Source organism: Homo sapiens, chromosome 10 (genome assembly GCF_000001405.40).
Source record: "Homo sapiens chromosome 10, GRCh38.p14 Primary Assembly".
Taxonomy (NCBI): domain Eukaryota; kingdom Metazoa; phylum Chordata; class Mammalia; order Primates; family Hominidae; genus Homo; species Homo sapiens.
Genome location: NC_000010.11, coordinates 38643248 through 38661509, shown reverse-complemented (window position 1 = coordinate 38661509; position 18262 = coordinate 38643248). Strand labels below are relative to the sequence as shown.

Below are 18262 nucleotides of genomic sequence, written 5' to 3'. Positions count from 1 at the left end.
TTGTTTTCCATTTTCTTGGTAGATCTTCCTCCATCCCTTTATGTTGAACCTATGTGTGAATTTGCGCATGAGATTGGTCTCCTGAATACAGCACACTGATGGGTCTTGACTCTTTATCCAATTTGCCAGTCTGTGTCCTTTAATTGGGGCATTTAGCCCATTTATGTTTACAGTTAATATTGTTATGTGTGAATTTGATCCTGTCATTATGATATTCGCTGGTTATTTGCCCGTTAATTGATGTAGTTTCTTCCTAGCATTGATGTTCTTTACAACTTGGCATGTTTTTGCACTGGCTGGTACCGGGTGTTTCTTTCCATGTTTAGTGCTTCCTTCAGGAGCTCTTGTAAGGCAGGCCTGGTGGTGACAAAATCTCTCAGCATTTGCTTGTCAGTAAAGAATTTTATTTTCTCCTTCACTTATGACGCTTAGTTTGGCTGGATATGAAACTCTGGTTTGAAAATTATTTTCTTTAAGAATGTTGAATATTGGCCCCCACTCTCTTCTGGATTGTAGGGTTTCTGCCAAGAGATCAGCTGTTAGTCTGATGGGCTTCTCTTTGTGGCTAACCTGACCTTTCTCTCTGGCTGCCCTTAACACTTTTTCCTACACTTCAACCTTGGTGAATCTGACAATTATGTGTCTTGGAATTGCTCTTCTCAAAGAGTATCTTTGTGTTGTTCTCTGTATTTCCTGAAGTTGAATGTTGGCCTGCCTTGCTAGATTGGGGAAGTTCTCCTGGATAATATCCTACAGAGTGTTTTCCAACTTGGTTCCATTCTCCTCATCACTTTCCGGTACACCAATCAAATGTAGATTTGGTCTTTTTACATGGTCTCATATTTCTTGGAGGCTTTCTTCATTTCTTTTTACTCTTGTTTCTCAACCTTGTCTTCTCACTTTATTTCATTTATTTGATCTTCAATCACTGATACCCTTTCTTCCACTTGATTGAATCGGCTATTGAAGCTTGTGCATGCGTCACAAAGTTCTCATGCCATGGTTTTCAGCTCCATTGGGTCACTTAAGGTCTTCTCTACACTGTTTATTCTTGTAAGCCTTTCGTCTAATCTTTTTTCAAGGTTTTTAGCTTCCTTGCAATGGGTTCCAACGTCCTCCTTTAGCTCGGAGAAGTTTCTTATTACCAACCTTCTGAAGCCTACTTCTGTCAACTCGTCAAAGTCATTCTCTGTCCAGCTTTGTTCCATTGCTGACAAGGAGCTGTGATCCTTTGGAGGAGAAGAGGTGCTCTGATTTTTAGAATTTTCAGCTTTTCTGCTCTGGTTTATCCCCATCCTTTTGGTTTTATCTACCTTTGGTCTTTGATATTGTTGATCTACAGATGGGGTTTTGGGTTAGATGATCTTTTGTTAATGTTGACACTATTCCTTTCTGTTTTTTAGTTTTCCTTCTAACTGTCAGGACCCTCAGCTGCAGATCTGTTGGAGTTTGCTGGAGTTCCACTCCAGACACTGTTTGCCTGGGTACCACCAGTGGAGGCTGCAGAACAGCAAATATTGCAGAACAGCAAATATTTCTGCCTGATCCTTCCTCTGGAAGCTTCGTCCAAGAGAGGCAGCCGCCTATATGAGGTGTCTGTCAGCCCCTACTGGGAGGTGTGTCCCAGTTAGGCTACACAGGGGTCAGGGACCCACTTGAGGAGGCAGTCTGTCCATTCTCAGAACTCAAACACCATGCTGGGAAAACCACTGCTCTCTTCAGAGCTGTCAGACAGGGACGTTTCAGTCTGCAGAAGTTGCTGCCTTTTGTTCAGCTATCCCTGCCCACAGACGTGGAGTCTAGAGGCTATGGGCCTTGTTGAGCTGTAGTGGGCTCCACCGAGTTCAAGCTTCCCTGGCCACTTTGTTTACCTACTTAAGCCTCAGCAATGGTGGACCCCCCTCCCGCAGCCAGGCTGCCACCTTGCAGATGGATTTCAGACTGTTGCGCTAGCAGTGAGCAAGGCTCCATGGGTGTGGGACTTACTGAGCCAGGCACAGGAGAGAATCACCTTGTCTGCTAGTTGCTAAGACCTTGGGAAAAGTGCAGTATTTGGGCGGGAGTGCCCTGTTTTTCCAGGTAGTCTGTCACAGCTTCCCTTGGCTAGGAAAGGGAAATCCCCCAACCCCTTGTGCTTTCCCGGGGAGGCGATGCCCCACCCTGCTTCAGCTCACCCTCCGTGGGCCTGCACCCACTCTCCAACAAGTCCCAATGAGATGAACCAGGTACCTCAGTTGGAAGTGCAGAAATCACCTGTCTTCTGTGTCAATCATGCTGGGAGCTGCAGACCGGAACTGTTCCTATTTGGCTATCTTGGAACCCATCCAAGACATCTGGTAGAAGAAATTTGTAAGCAGCAAAGTGTTCAATTTATGACCTGAGTGCTCTTAAAAGTGTTCAGTTTTATGCATTCACAAAAATATGGTTTGGAATTAGAACTTATGTTTAAAAGGGAGCAGAGCATGAAAGTTTGGAAGATTTGCAGCCTGATGATGTGATAGAAAAGAAAACCCATTTTCTGGGGAGAAATTCAAGCTGACTGCAGAAATTTGCAGAAGTAACAAGGAGCCAAATGATAATTGACAAGATAATGGGGAAATTGTCTCCAGGGCATGTCAGAGTTGTTCACAACAGCCCCTCCCGTGACAGGGTTGGAGGCCTAGGAGGGAAAAAATGGTTTTGTGGGCCAGGCCCAGAACTTTGCTGCTCTGTGCAGTCTTGGGACTTGGTGCCCTGTGTCCCAGCCATGGCTAAAAGGAGCCAATGTACAGCTCAGGTTATTGCTTCAGAGTTCAATCCCCAAGCCTTGGCAGTTTCCATGTAGTTTTGGGTTGATATGCTAGTTGGCCACTTGTATTTTTTTTGGAAAAAATGTCGATTCAAGTCTATCTTAGTCCATTCCTGCTGCTATAACAAAATATCTTAGGCTGGTAATTTATAAACAACAAAAATTTATTTCTTGCATTCTGGAGTGTGAGAAGTCCAAGATTTAGGCTACAACAGACTCAGTGACTGGTGAGGTCACTATATTCACTATACATAGCACCTTCTCTGTGTCCTCACATGTTCAAAAGGGAAAAAAAACTCCCTTAAGCCTCTTTTATAAAGGCCCTAGTCCCATTTCTGAGAGCTATGACTTCATGAACTAATCATCTCCAAAATGCCCCACCTCTTAATATTATCACATTGAATATTAGGCTCCAGCATATGAATATTGGGAGAACACTTGGACCATAGCAAAGTCAACTGACCATTTCTCATTTAGGTTGTTTTGTTATTGAGTTGTTGTTCTGTATATATTTTAGATATTAACCCCTTGTCAGGTATTTGGTTTGCTGGGAGGTTTTTGATTCCTGATTCAGTTACTAGTTATAGGTTTATTAAGATTTTTTATTTTGTGACTTAGTCTTGGTAACTTGCATGTTACAAGGAATCTCTTCATTTCTCCTAGGTTATCCAACTTGTCAGTATATAATCATTCATAGTAGACTCTTAGAATCCTTTTTATTTCTGTAATATCTGTTGCAGTGTCTTCTCTTTTGTTCCTAAAAGAAGTTGAGTCTTCTTTTTTTTCTTAAATATTCTAGCTAATGATTTGTCAATTTTGTTGAACTTTGAAACAACTACTAGTTTCACTGGATTTTTTCTATTCTCTAGCCTTTTTTTTTTTTTTTTTTTTTTTGAGATGGAGTTTTGCTCTTATTGCCCAGGCTGTAGTGCAATGGCGTGATCTCCGCTAGCTGCAACCTCCGCTTCCCAGTTCAAGTGACTCTCCTGCCTCAGCCTCCAGAGTAGCTGGGATTACAGGCATGCACCACCATGCCTGGCTAATTTTGTATTTTTCAGTAGAGACACGTTTCTCCCTGTTGCTGAGGCTGGTCTCGAACTCCCGACCTCAGGTGATCCACTTGCCTTGGCCTCCCAAAGTGCTGGGATTACAGTCGTGAGCCACTGCTCCCGGCCTTCTGCTCTAGACTTTATTATTTCCTTACTTTTGCTAACATTGGGTTGAGTTCTTCTTTTTCCAGTTTCTTGAGGTGTAAAGCTAAGTTACTGATTTTAGATCTTTCTTCTTTTTTAAGGTAGGTAGTTAGATATATAAACTGTCCTCTTCATATTCATTTTGCTGCATCCCACAAGCTTTGGAATGTTGTGTTTCCATTTTTATTTGTCTCAAGACATTTTCTAACTTTCCTTGTGACTTATTCTTTGACTATGTATTAATCAGAGTTCTCCAGAGGGTCAGATCCAATAGGAAATATAGATATAGATATAGATATAGATAATAGATATAGATATAGATACATATACATGCATCTAAAAGAGAATATATTTACATATATATGAAATATAATTTATTAAGGAGAATTGGCCCACATAATTACAAAGGCAAAGTCCCACAGTAGGCCATCTATAAGCTGGAAAATGAGAGAAGCCTACAGCATGGCTCCCAAGGAAGCCAGTGACATGGCTCAGTCCAAATCTGAAAGTCTCAAAACCAGGGAAGCTGACAGTGCAGCCACTAGTCTGAGGCCCAAGGCTTGAGAGCTCCCAAAAGGCTGCTGATGCAAGTCCCAGGGTCCAAAGGCCAAAGAACCTAGAGTTTGATGTGCAAGGGCAAGAGGAGAAAAAGGCATACTGCTCTGGAAGAGAGAGAAAGTGCATAAAAAAGAAATCCAAGCAAGCTGAATGTTCCCATTCTTCTGCCTTTTTGTTCTAGTCACACTTGTAACCAATTGCATGATGCCTACCCACAGTGAGGATGGGTTTTTCTCTCTCAGTCCAGTAACTCATCCATCATTCTCCTGTGGCCGCACCCTCACAGATATACACACACACAGTGCTTCATCAGGCATCTAAGCATCCCTCAATCAAACTGACAATTAATATTAACCACACAGGCCAATTGGTTAAGAGAGTATATTTTTGTAATTTCCACATATTTATTACTTTTCCTTTTTCCTTCTGCTATGAATTTGTAATTTCATTTAATGTGGTCAGAAAAGATATTTGGTATGAGTTCAGTTTTCTTAAAGTTTTAAAAACTTGCTTGTGGACCAGCATGCCATCTATCCTGGAAACGTCTTGATATGTACTTGAGAAGAAAGTATATTTTGCTATTATTGGGTGAAGTGTTCTGTATATGTCAGACAGGTCCAATTGGTCTACAATGTTGTTCAAGTTCTGTGTTTTCCAGTTGATCTTCTGTCTGGTTATTGTATCCATAATTGAAAGTGGAATATTGAAGTTTTCTGTTATTATGATGTTGTTATCTATGTTACCCCTCAATTCTGTCTATGTTAGCTTCATATATTTAGATGCTGTACTGTTAGTTGCACATACATTTATATTTGCTATATCTTCTTGGTCAATTGGCCCTTTTATTATTATGTAATATCCTTGTCTCTTGTGCTATTATTTGACTTAAACTCTATTTTGTCTAAGTATGGCCATCCTTGTTCTCTTTTGGTTACCAAATGCATTGAATATCTTTTTCCATCCTTTCACTTTCAACCTTTGTGTGTGTTTAGATCTAACATAAGTCTCTTGCATATAGTATATATTTAGATTTTTTAATCCATTCAGCCAATTCTCTGTCTTTTGATTGGAAAATTAGCCTATTTGCATTTAAAGTAGTTACTGATAGGGAGGGGCTTACTATTGTCATTTTGTTCATTGTTTTATACATGTCTTCCAGGTATTTTTTCCACTTTTCCTCTCTTTCTGCCTCCCTTTATGTTTCACTGATTTCTTTTTTTGGTAGGGACGTGCTTTGGTTCCTTTCTCATTTTTATTTTTGTATCTTCTGTAGGTCTTTTCTTTGTGGTTACTGTAGAATTACATGAAAACATCTTATAGTTATAATAATCTATTTTAAATTGACAACAACTTAACTTTAATCACATACAAAAACTCTACTTCTTTACACCTCCTTCTCACTTGTTATCAATGTCACACAATATATATCTTATATTGTTTATTCACATAATTTAATACAGTAATATTATGCTTTTACCTTTTAAATTCTAAGCTTCAATTAAAAGTGAATTACAGGCTGGGTGTGGTGTCTCACACCTGTAGTCCCAGCACTTTGAGAGGCCAAAATGGGAGGATCACTTGAGCCTAGGAGTTTGAGACCAGCAAGGCCTTATCTCTGCTAAAAATTTAAAAATATTATCTGAGTGTGGTGGTGCATGTCTGTAGTCCCAGCCACTCGGGAGGCTGAGGTGGGAGGATTGCTTTAGCCCAGGACTGCAAGGCTGCAGTGAGCCATGATCAAACCACTGCACTCCAGCCTGGGCAACAGAGCAAGACTTCGTCTCAAAAAAAAAAAAAAAAGTAAAGGACAAAAAGTGTTTTGCTTACCACCATTAGAGTATTAAAGGATTCTATGTTCACTCATATATTTACCTTTACCAAAGAAGTTTATATTTTGTATGCTTTTGTATTTCTATCCAATGCCTTTTCATTTCCACTTGGAGGACTCCCTTTAACATTTTTTGTAAGGTAGGTCTAGTGGTGATCAACTCCCTCACCTTTTACTTCTCTGGGGAACTCTTTGTTTGTCCTTCATTTTTGAAGTAGAGTTTTACTGGCTATACAGTTCTTGGTTGACAGTTTTTTTTTTCTTTCAGCCCTTTTAATATATCATCCCATTCTCTTCTGACCTGTAGAGTTTTTGCTGATAATTCCATTGATAACCATATAGCATCTCCCTTGTATGTGACAAGTTGCTTTGATCCTGTTCCTTTCAAAATTCTCTCTTTGTCTTTAACTTTTGACAGTTTGATTGTAATGTGTCTCATTGTAGGTCTTTTGCAAATTATCCAACTTGGAGTTCTTTGAGCCTCTTGGATTTGTATGTCCATTTCCTTCTTTAAGTTTGAGAAGTTTTTGGTTATTATTTTTTTAACTGGCTCTCTGCCCCTTTATTTTTCTCTTCTCCTTCTGGCACTTTCATAATGCATACATTGGTCTGCTTGATGGCATCCTGTAAGTCTCTTAGGCTGTCTTCACTCTTCACTCCTTTTCCCTTTTGCTCCTCTGACTCCATAATTTCAAATGACTAGTCTTCCGTTTCACTGATTCTTTCTTCTGCTTGATGTTATTGAAACTGCCTTTGCAAAAATTATAACTGAAGAAATTATGACAGCAAAAGACATCAGACTTAATCAACTCCATCTTGCTTCTAGCATTTAAACTGTCCTTGTTCATTCCCGGCAGTAGGATGAACTAATTTCGGGAAGGTATTCAGTTCATGGTTTGACTCTGAAACAAAGTTGATAATAGCCATTTCCCAAAAAGATCCCCTTCTTGCCTGGAACCAGTCTGCCTTTGCAGGATAAACAAATTAGCTATAACATCAGAAATTACAGTTGAGGGGTTATGCAGCCTCTGGCTCCAAGAGTCTGAACCTCTCCAAATTGCTCCTGGGGATAACATCACTATTGTAAAACCTAAAATCAGTGCTTGAGATATTTTGCAGACCCTGCACTGGATGAATCAGCTGACACCACCCAGACTGGTAATATGGCTCAACTAGTTCTGCCACCCCAGCCACAAACAGAAGACAGCAAGAAAACATCTCTTCAACCCTGTATGATTTCATCTCCAACCTGATGAATAAGCAGTCCCCACTTCCCAAGTCCCTACATGCCAAATTATCTTTAAAAGTTCTGAACCCCGAATGCTCAGGGAGACTGATTTGAGTAATAATAAAACTCTGATCTCCCGCACAGCCAGCTCTGCCTGAATTACTCTTTCTCCATTGCAATTCCCCTATCTTGATAAATCAGCTCTGTCTAAGCAGGGCACGAGGTGAACCCATTGGGCAGTTACACAGTCTATTGGTGATTTCCGATAGGGAATTTTTCAATTGAGCTACTGTATTCCTTAGCTCCAGAGTTTCTGTATGGTTCCTTTTTTTTTTAGTTTCTATCTCCATTAATATATTCATTTTATTCATGAATTATTTCCTGCTTTCACTTAGTTGTCTATTTCTGTTGTCACTGGGCTTCATTAAGAGAGTTAATTTGGATTCTTTGTCAGGTAACTCATTTATCTATTTCTTTAGGGTTGGTTTCTGGAGATTTATTTTGCTCCTTTAATTTAGTCATCAGGTTTCTCTGTTTCTTCTTATGTCTTGTTATTTTTTATTTTTTATTTATTTTTGCCAAGATTTGGGTGTTTGAAAAAACTGCCACTTCTCCCAGTTTTTATCAGCTGGCTTCATACGGAAGACCTTCATACCTGAATCAGCATGGCTATAGGTTCCAGCAGCCTCTCAAACTTTTTCTGGGAATGCATCTTCTTTGGGTTTATACATTGCAACATCCCAAGTAGAGGTTTGCCAGTTTCTTTTTCTGGAGCTGTTGTTCCCTCTGGTATCTGTCTGTGGTACTGCAGGTTCCCTGGTGCTGCATCATCTCTGACCTCTCCTTTATTCCCAGTGGTTCCCATGCATCCAAAGTATGCCAGTTGGGCGTCAAGTTAGAGAGAGAGAGAGAGCTTCAGGTAACCTCATAAAACTATTCCGTTCCAGTCTTCTCTTTCCCTGCTAACGGAGAAGCTGCAAGTTGAGTGCTTCCCAGCCAAACCAACCTGTTCGAGCTTGGGGAAGGGGTATCATGAGTATAATGCAACAGCTTTTCTTATTTGTTCAATGCCACTATTCTTGATTTTGCACTTGTCTGTGCTACTACAACTTCTTAATGGTTTATGGAACTCCATAAAGGCTTTTAGACCATATATTGTTTTTCAGTTGCTATCTTTATGGAGAATCAAGGTTTGGAGCCATTCCACCATCTGGCTGACATCACTCTGTTTATATTATTTTTTATTTTTATTATATTTTATTTCCTTGAGACAGGATCTTGCTCTGTCAGCCAGGCTAGAGTGCAGCCTGGAACTCCTGAGCTCAAGGGACCTCCTCTCTCAGGCTACTGAGTACTTGGACTATAGGTACACAACACATACCCGGCTAATTTCTTATTTTCTTGTGAAGATGGGGTTTCACTCTGTTGCCCAAGTTACTCTCAAATCTTGGGCTCAAGCAATCCTTCTGCCTTGGCCTCCCAAAGTGCTAGGATTAAAGGTGTGAGCCCACCATGCGCTGCCTGTTATATTTAGTAGAAAATATATCTAAAAATATACTTATGTACTATATTGAATCCACTACCCAGAGCTTAACTGAACTATTTTTGTGACTCATTCTGTTTTTTTTTATTTTTTGCTTTTTACTTATTACAATGAACTACAAGTATGGATATATTAATATTAATTAATATAAAATATACTGGAATCTTTTGTATTTTTTTTTCCTTTTTTCTTCACCAAAAGCAGAAACTTAAATACACTGAAATCTTAAATGACCCTTGAATGTTTCTGGGACTGACCCTGGAACAAAATTTTTTATGTTGTTATTACATTGTTCTTTTCATGTTAAAATCATTTGTTTCTTTTTCATATAGTACATCAAAGAAGAATTGTTAATATAGCCCTTACCAGCCATATGCTAAGTGCCACAAGTGTTTTGGTCTCTCTCCATTCTTGTACCTCACTTGGTCTTTTTTTTTCTTTTGGAGGTGTAGCCTCCATCTTTCACCCAGGCTGGAGTGTGGTGGCATGATCTCAGCTCACTGCAACCTCTGCCTCCCAGGTTCAAGTGATTCTCCTCCCTCAGCCTCCTGAGTACCTGGGACTACAGTTGTGTGCCACCATGCCCACAAAATTTTTGTATTTTTATTAGGGATGGGGCTTCATTATGTTGGCCATGCTGGTCTTGAACTCCTGACCTCAAGTAATCCACCCTCCTCAACCTCCCAAAGTGCTGGGATTACAGACATGAGCCACTGCGCCTGGACTACCCCACTCTGTCTTTTAAATTGGCTATGTAAGGGGAGCATCTTGTGCTTGTTAAGTCTTTGTTTTCTGGCCTATTTATATAATGGACATTTCTGAGTTGTGTGTATATATTAAATTATTTGAGAGTATATATTTAATGTACTAAATAGATCTACGTGTTTTCATACATGTCACTATAAAAAGACCATTTGCATATATTTGTTCTATAAAATGCTTACTTTTCTTCATGAGCCACCTAGATTTGCTTTTCTGATGTGTAGTGTATGTGAAAATATTTCTTTGTGAATTTTTCTTTATTGTGTGCCCCTACAGGTGGTAAGCTTAATAACGCCATAGCCTCTATAAGGAACGTATGTATTAGTCGGCTGGCAGGAATTGTTTTGGGATTTTTTGTTTGATATTTTCCAAGTGAAGACCAGTTAAATACAAAATCTATTTTATAGAAGTATAGTATTAGACATTTTTTTCAAAATATTAAACTTTGGTAAGATCCATGAAATTTAATACTTAACTCTATTTTTCTAAAACTAGCCTCCAATGCCTACTCTGTATTTAAAACTGAGCACAGCGGTGATTGATACAGGTCAATGGCTTTGATTAAAGTCTCTGCTTCCTGATTTTGCAAATAAGGAATGTCAAAAACTATACTTAATGCAGAGTATCCCTCTGAATTATACTTTCCCTTTCTCTACTAAATTGCCTATTGATGTTTGATAATTTTCCCCAAATTTTCCCTTAAACATTTTAGGGGGAGATAGGTTCCCATTCATTTCTGCATATTTTCTGACTGAAATTCACTCCTGCTATCCTTTGACAAAGGCAACACTCAAACTTAGCCATTTCCTGCCTTAAAGGAAAACATGCCATTACTTTTGTATTTCTGTAATTTCCATCCAAATTTAGCTGTAACATATTGACCAAAGAGATATTCAAATATTTTTTAAGAATTCATTGGACATGTTATATGAAACTGGAGATTTTATGGGTCTCTTTTCTTCTTCACTTAAAGTAATACTTTAACTATTTTACTGATACTAGTATCAGAGATGTGGCAGAAGAAGAAACGTTACTAATTGGAAATTTTGTTACTTGGTAGTAAGTCTGCTAAAATGTATGGTGAGAAAGAAAATCAAAATTTTAGACATTTAATATAACATTTAAAGACATAATATCAAAGGGTCAAACATATGTAATAGATAATGTCAAATCTTGTATTATATATTTAATATAAACTAATTTCTAAATATCTATCTAATTCTAGAAAAAACTTACATTGAAGAGAGGATTCCTTGTTTTGACTACGTGTGTTTCTGCTGTCTTAGGCAGCCAACGTATTGGTTTACATGGATCTGGAGGATTATGCACATTAGTGTTGAGTTTCATTGCAGGGACAAAATGGTCCCAAGAAAAGGTGAATATTTTTAATATGCTATATTTTAAAAGCTAAGACAACCGAATTTTTTACATATATTTAGGAAATCCCCTCATTCTGGTTGGAAAATATTCCAAAAGGTTTTCTATCCTCAAGAAAGAGTACGAATCAATCGAGGAAATAAAATATTTAATAAAAGCAGCTGGAAATATACTAATATGGAATCAGAAGTTGAGTTAATCACATCAGGCTTCTCTTTTTCCCAAGTTTTATATAATATTATTATATTACTTATATCAATTTAATTATTTTATTCATTGAAATTTTAATTATGCAATTAATCCATGAAGAATGTTTGTAAAAGGCCAGGCACGGTGGCTCATGCCTGTAATCCCAGAAATTTGGGAGGTTGAGGTGGACAGATCACCTGGGGTCAGGAGTTTGAGACCAGCGTGGCCAACATGGTGAAACCCCATCTCTACTAAAAATACAAAAATTAGCTGGGCATGGTGGCTTGGTGGTGGGCACCTGTAATTCCAGCTACTGAGGAGGCTGAGGCAGGAGAATTGCTTGAACCCAGGAGGTGGAGGCTGCAGTGAGCCGAGATCATGCCATTGCACTCCAGCCTGGGCAACAAGTGCAAAACTCCATCACACACACAAAAAATAATAATAAACAAACAAATAAATAATAAAAAGAGAAATGCTTGTAAAATAATAAAACATAGAAAAAATGTAAAAGATTTCTTTATTCCCCACCACTGTCAAATATCTAACCGCCTTACATTTTTTTAAGTAACCAGTGTCCTATTTATAGACATTAAGATAGTTTCCACTTTTTGTTATTTACAAACAGTGCTGTCATAAACAGTGTTGTTCATGTCTTTTTTTTTTTTTTTTTTTGAGACACAGTTTCACTCTTGTCACCCAGGCTGGAGTTCAGTAGCATAATCTTGGCTCACTGCAACCTCCACCTCCTGGATTCAAGTGATTTTTCTATTTCAGCCTCCCTAGTAGCTGGGATTACAGGCACGCACCACCATGCCCAGCAAATTTTTGTATTTTTAGTAGAGACGGGGTTTCACCATTTTGGCCAGGCAGGTCTTGAACTCCTGACCTCAGGTGATACTCCTGCCTCGGCCTCCCAAAGTTTTGGGATTACAGGTACATCTGTAGGAATAGAGTTCTAGAAATGATTTTTTTTTTGAGACAGAGTCTCTGTCTATGTTGCCCAGGCTGGTCTCAAAATCCTGAGCTCAAGGGATGCTCCCAAATTGACATTGCAAAGTGCTAGGATTACAAGCATGAGCTACCACACCTCGCTGGAAATGATCTGTGTTTTATTTTGATGGACACTGCTAAATTATCCCTTCAAAAATTTTGGTTATTTACACTCTGCCAACAGTGCACAAAAATATCTAATACCTTAACTCATCAACAGCACTTGATATTATCACTAGTTCTATTCTTTTTACTATTAAATGACCTCATCATCCAATTCTTATAGTTTCTTACAATTATGTGATGTTGTTATTCTTTATTTACATTTCTCCGATTAGTAGTATAGTAAGCTTCTCTTCATATATTCTTTTTAAAATACCTATGATCTTCTTTGACCATTTTTATTGGGTTATTTATTTCTTGTTTCTAATTTATAGTTTCTCTTAGTGTTAGGGCTACTGATCCTTTGTTATGTATATATTGCATATAATTTTTGCTTATCTTCAACTTTGTTTACGGTGTCTGGTGTATGAAAGTAAAATTTCCTATGACCAAACCTATTGGGTTTTCCTTTTTTGGTTTTGGATTCTGCATCTCATTTAAGAAGGACTTTCTCACTGAAGATTATAACATATAAACATTACAAAGATATACTATTTTGTGTATTATCATTTAATATTTTGGTAGTTTTTGTTTAATTTGTTTTTTCATTTAGGCTTTTAATCTATCTGGAATTTATCTTTGTGAATGCTGTGAGGTAAGGTTATATATATATATATATGTGTATCTTACAAACTATGTATATATACACACACACATATACAGTTTGTAAGTTAACTGAACAGAGATAGAACTACATCATGGCTGATGTGTGTGTGTATATATATATATGTATATATATATACACACACACATATATATATATTCAGACACACATATATAATTGCATGTGATGAATATGTACATACAGATATATGCACATAAACTAGACAGTCATTTTTTGCCAAATTGTTTATTTATTGACCAATTCATTAATAATTCAGTTTTTTAACATGAACTAAATTCTCCCATATATATTAATTGTGGTCTGTTTAATCCTACTTCTCTATTTCTATGCCAACACCTCTGTTTTAAATCACTGCAGTTTTATGTGTCAAAATCTAATATAGATTATACTTCTTTTTAAAGTATTTTTTGGCTGCTCCTACACATATTCTTCCTTAGATAAATTTTAGAATCAACTTGAGAAGTTCCCTAATCAAAAATCATAGTGGCATTTTGCTTAGTATTCTTGTATAATCATAATTATAAAAGAAATGAAATGAATGAAATGCAAATCAATAAATAAAATTGAAACTGCTAGAATTTTTTTAAATGGTAAAAGAAACAGAACCAAAACAAGTTTTAAAGATTTAAAGTAACGAACAGGATAATTATGCTGTAAAGAGTGGTAACATCTTTTTTCTTTGTTTTTCTTTTTTTAAACTATAAAAAGTGGGGATCAGAAAACACAGTCATAAGGGAAATAGTTGTGAAGATAGTTTTTGCCTCAAGGAAGAGACATCAAAGTACTTATGTATCTTCTGTTTAAAGAAAAAAATTAAACCCAGACTGAGACTGAAATCTCTTCATCCAAATTCCTGGAGAAGAGCCAGAGTAATGTAGGCCAATAGGGGCCTTTCCTGTAACCTTTTAATTGGGGAAGTAGCACTGGGAGGCATTCGTTTCCAGAAGGGGAAGCTGGGTAGGCAGCTAAATGAGAATCTAATATATGTTTTGGTTTTGTTTTAAGGAAAAAGTAACTTTAAAGTATTCAACATGGGTTCTTTGGAAGCAGGCCTAGCAGACTTCCAAATTGTTTTTCCTAGTAGTATATGCTATATATATCAGGATTCACTTTAATGGCATTGAGTTCCAGGATGGTTGTTAGTGGAAGGCTTCCCAACCCCCTTCTGAGAACCCAAATGTTTGCATGAACTGGGTATGTTCTCATCAGGCATGATGTAGTTCTATCTCTATTCAGTTAACTTAGAGACAAAATCTGGAACTCATATGAAACATGGCTAGAACCCTAAAGACATCACTTATTCTGTGACAAAATGGCCAAATAGTATTATTTTATTGCTTTGTGAGTTTCTTTTAATCAAATTCTACCTAAGTGTTTGAGTAAAACTATTGAAGTGCTCAGTTTTTATTAAGTTTAATATTTTTATTAAAATAAAGTGTCTTAAATTTATTAAATGTTAAGTGACTTTAGGCCAGGCATGGTGGCTCATGTCTATAATGCCAGTGCTTTGGGAGGCCACAGCCAGAGACCACTTGAAGACAGGAGTTCTAGACCATCCTGGGCAATATAGCGAGACCCCATCTCTATAAACAATTTAAAAATTAGCCCACCATGGTGGTACACACCTGTCGTTCTACTTGGGAGACTGCGAGAGGATCACTTGAGCCCAGGAGTTCAAGGCTACAGTGAGCTAAGATTATGCCACTACACCCCAGCCTGGGCAACAGAGCAAGACCCCATCTCTAAAATACTTAAAAAGTGAAAAAAAAAGGTGAGGGAGACTTTAACTTTCTGAAATATATTTATGTGCCAAAATAATTATAAATGTATTTCTCTTTTCTATAGATGAAAGTCCAAAAGATTATTACAAATGTATGGGATATTTTTCAACCACTTCTTTTTGGTTTAGTTGGAGCAGAAGTATCTGTTTCATCGCTTGAATCAAATATTGTTGGTAAGAATAATTAGAGCACAAAAAATATGAAATTCAAAAATATTTAAGAAAATTATAAATACATTTATTTTTATTTACAATATATCTTTGAATGGCTACAAGGACCTTCTTCAGAAACACATGTTGATACAGTGTCATATTTTCATATTGCTCTTCCTTTACACTGTGTGCTCTTTTTTTTTAAACCAAGGACAGCCCTGAATATCTTCCCTGAGTTATCTAAGGAAATAAATATAAGATTTCTTTCCTGAGGGAACGTATTTGATACGATCAGCACTGTTTGAGTACTTTCATTAAAACTATTGGCTGGGTGTTGTGGCTCATGCCTGTAATTTTAGCACTTTGGGAGGCCGAAGCGGGCAGATTTCTTGAAGTTAGGAGTTCAAGACCTGCCTGGCTAACATGGGGAAACCCATCTCTCCTAGAAATACAAAAATTAGCCAGGTGTGGTAGTGCGTGCCTGTAACCCCAGCTACTCAGGAGGCTGAGGCAGGAGAATCACGTGAACCCGGGAGTCGGAAGTTGCAGTGAGCTGAGATTGTACCACTGCACTCCAGCCTGGGCGACAGAGCAAGAATCCTTCTCAAAAAGTAAACTATTATTAATAATAATAAAAGTATTCAAAAAAAGTCTATTAGTTCAGAATTGTATAAATGTCATGTGTCTTATTTTTCATGGTATCTCCACCATCAGATACTGTCTTGCACTTTACAGAGAATCCTCCATCATATTCATTTTTTATTATGATTGTTTTATGTAAAAATTAAACACATGAAGAGACAGTAGCCTTAAAATGCTTTCAAAAGTTTTAAAAATCATATTCCTGGGCATAAAGAACACTTCTTCACAAATATTTTGTTATTTATGTTTTCATCTGCTGTAAGCATATCTGTTGCCACTCTGAGTTTGGCATTATGTGTTCGAATTTTAACCACATATCTATTGATGTGCTTTGCTGGTTTTAGTTTTAAGGAGAAAATATTTATTGCTTTAGCATGGATGCCCAAAGCTACAGTACAGGTAAGAACATATTAAGCCTATTGCTTAATGCTTTCGTTTTGATGCTTTTAAAATTTAAAATGAAAAATGTTACTCCAATCACAAAATATGAGCTATTATCCTTACTTTTTAAATGTTTGATTGATCATAACTATTCATTAAAATTAACGTAACCAGTCCCAGCTACTCAGGAGGCTGAGATGGGAGAATTGCTTGAACCTAGGAGGTGGAGGTTGCAGTAAGCTGGGATGGCACCACTGTACTCCAGTCTGGGTGACAGAGCAAGACTCAATCTCAAAAAAAAAATAAATAAATAAATAAAAACAAACAAAGAAACAATGTAACATTTTTCTATTTTCATTTTTATTTTCATTTTGAGACCAGGTCTCACTCTGTCACCCAAACTGGAGTGCAGTGGCATGATCACGGCTCACTGCAGCCTTAACCACCTGGGCTGAAACAATCCTCTCACATAAACCTGAGTAGCTAGGATCACAGTCACCTGCCACCACACCCAACTGCTTTTTTTCAGTTTTTTTTTTTTTTTTTTTTTTTGAGACAGTCTTACTCTGTTGCCCAGGCTGGAGTGCAGTGGCATGATCTCAGCTCAATGTAACCTCCACCTCCCAGGTTCAAGCGATTCTCCTGCCTCAGCCTCCTCAGTAGCTGGGATTACAGGTGCACACCACCACACCTAGCTAATTTTTGTATTTTTAGGAGATATGGGGTCTCACCATGTTGGCCAGGCTAGTCTCAAACTCCTGACCTCAAGTGATCTGCCTGCCTCAGCCTCCCAAAGTGCTGGGATTACAGGCATGAGCCACTGTGCCTGGCCTTTTCTTTCTGATTTTTTTGTAAAGAGGAGGTCTTGCTATGTTGCCCAGGCTGATCTTGAACTCCTAGGTTCAAGTGATCTTCCTGCCTTAGCCTCCTAAAGTTCTGGGATTACAGGCATAACCCACTGGGCACAGCCAACGTAACCTTTTGAAATCTCAGTTTTAAAAGCAATTATTTTGAAATCAAAAAGTATTCTTTCAATAAGTACTTTCTAAGTTTATGAAAATATGTTTTTTTCCTAAAATATATAATAAGAATATATCTGAAAATTGGAGTTTTTATATTTTGCTTAATATAACAAAGCTAAATGTTATGATTTTAAAAAGTAGAGACAAAGGCCAGGCATGGAGGCTCATGCCTGTAATCCTAGCACTTCAGGAGGCTGAGGCAGGCAGATCACTTGACCTCAGGAGTTCAAGAGCAGCCTGGGAAACATGGTAAAACCCCTGTCTCTACAAAAAATACAAAAAAATTAGTCAGGTGTGGTGGCACACACCTGTAGTCACAGCTACTTGGGGGCTGAGGCAGGAGGATTGCTTGAACTCGGGAGTTTGGGGCTGCAGTGAGCTGAGGTCATGCCACTTCACTGCAGCTTGGGTGACAAAGTGAGACCCTGTCACAAAAAAAAGTAAAGTAGAATAGAGACACATTGATTTTTTAAAAAATACTTTTCCTACCTTGCCACTCACTCCATCACACAAATGTGCATATATTTTTTTAATTACACATTTATTTGTATACTATTTGGTTAATGGCTAAATCCCTGCCCCTGCCCCCTTGATAAACTACGTAAGGACAGGGACAGTGTCTAGTTGTTGCAGTTGTTTTTCATTATTTCTCCCTGGCACTTAACACAGTGCCTGACATGCAGGAGACAAATACGTATTGCATGCCTGCAAGGATGAATGAACAGAAAGGGAAACCTTGTAATTTTGCCCTGTTATTCAAGGAGATTCTCCTCCTACTAAAATATATTGCTACTTCTTGTTAGACTGTTTAACTTGGCAGCATAATATACCTTAATTTCCTGTGGCTCTTTCTTAGTTGTTAGAAAAGCAGGCTCATAGGGCCAGACTACCTGTTTTGAATACCATGTTACTTGCCTATAACCTCAGGAAAATTATTTTCTAGTCTCTCAGTCCTTCAGTGTTCTCATCTTGCAATGAAGTCTATGAATGTATCTGTTTCTTAGCAGTGTTGTCAGGATTCAATGAGATAATCCACGTAAA

General features: G+C 37.8%; 1 pseudogene; it reads left to right on the top strand.

Moving 5' to 3' along the window:
• SLC9B1P3 (solute carrier family 9 member B1 pseudogene 3) overlaps positions 1 to 18262 on the top strand; it is a 48295-nt pseudogene that overhangs the window by 27567 nt on the left and 2466 nt on the right.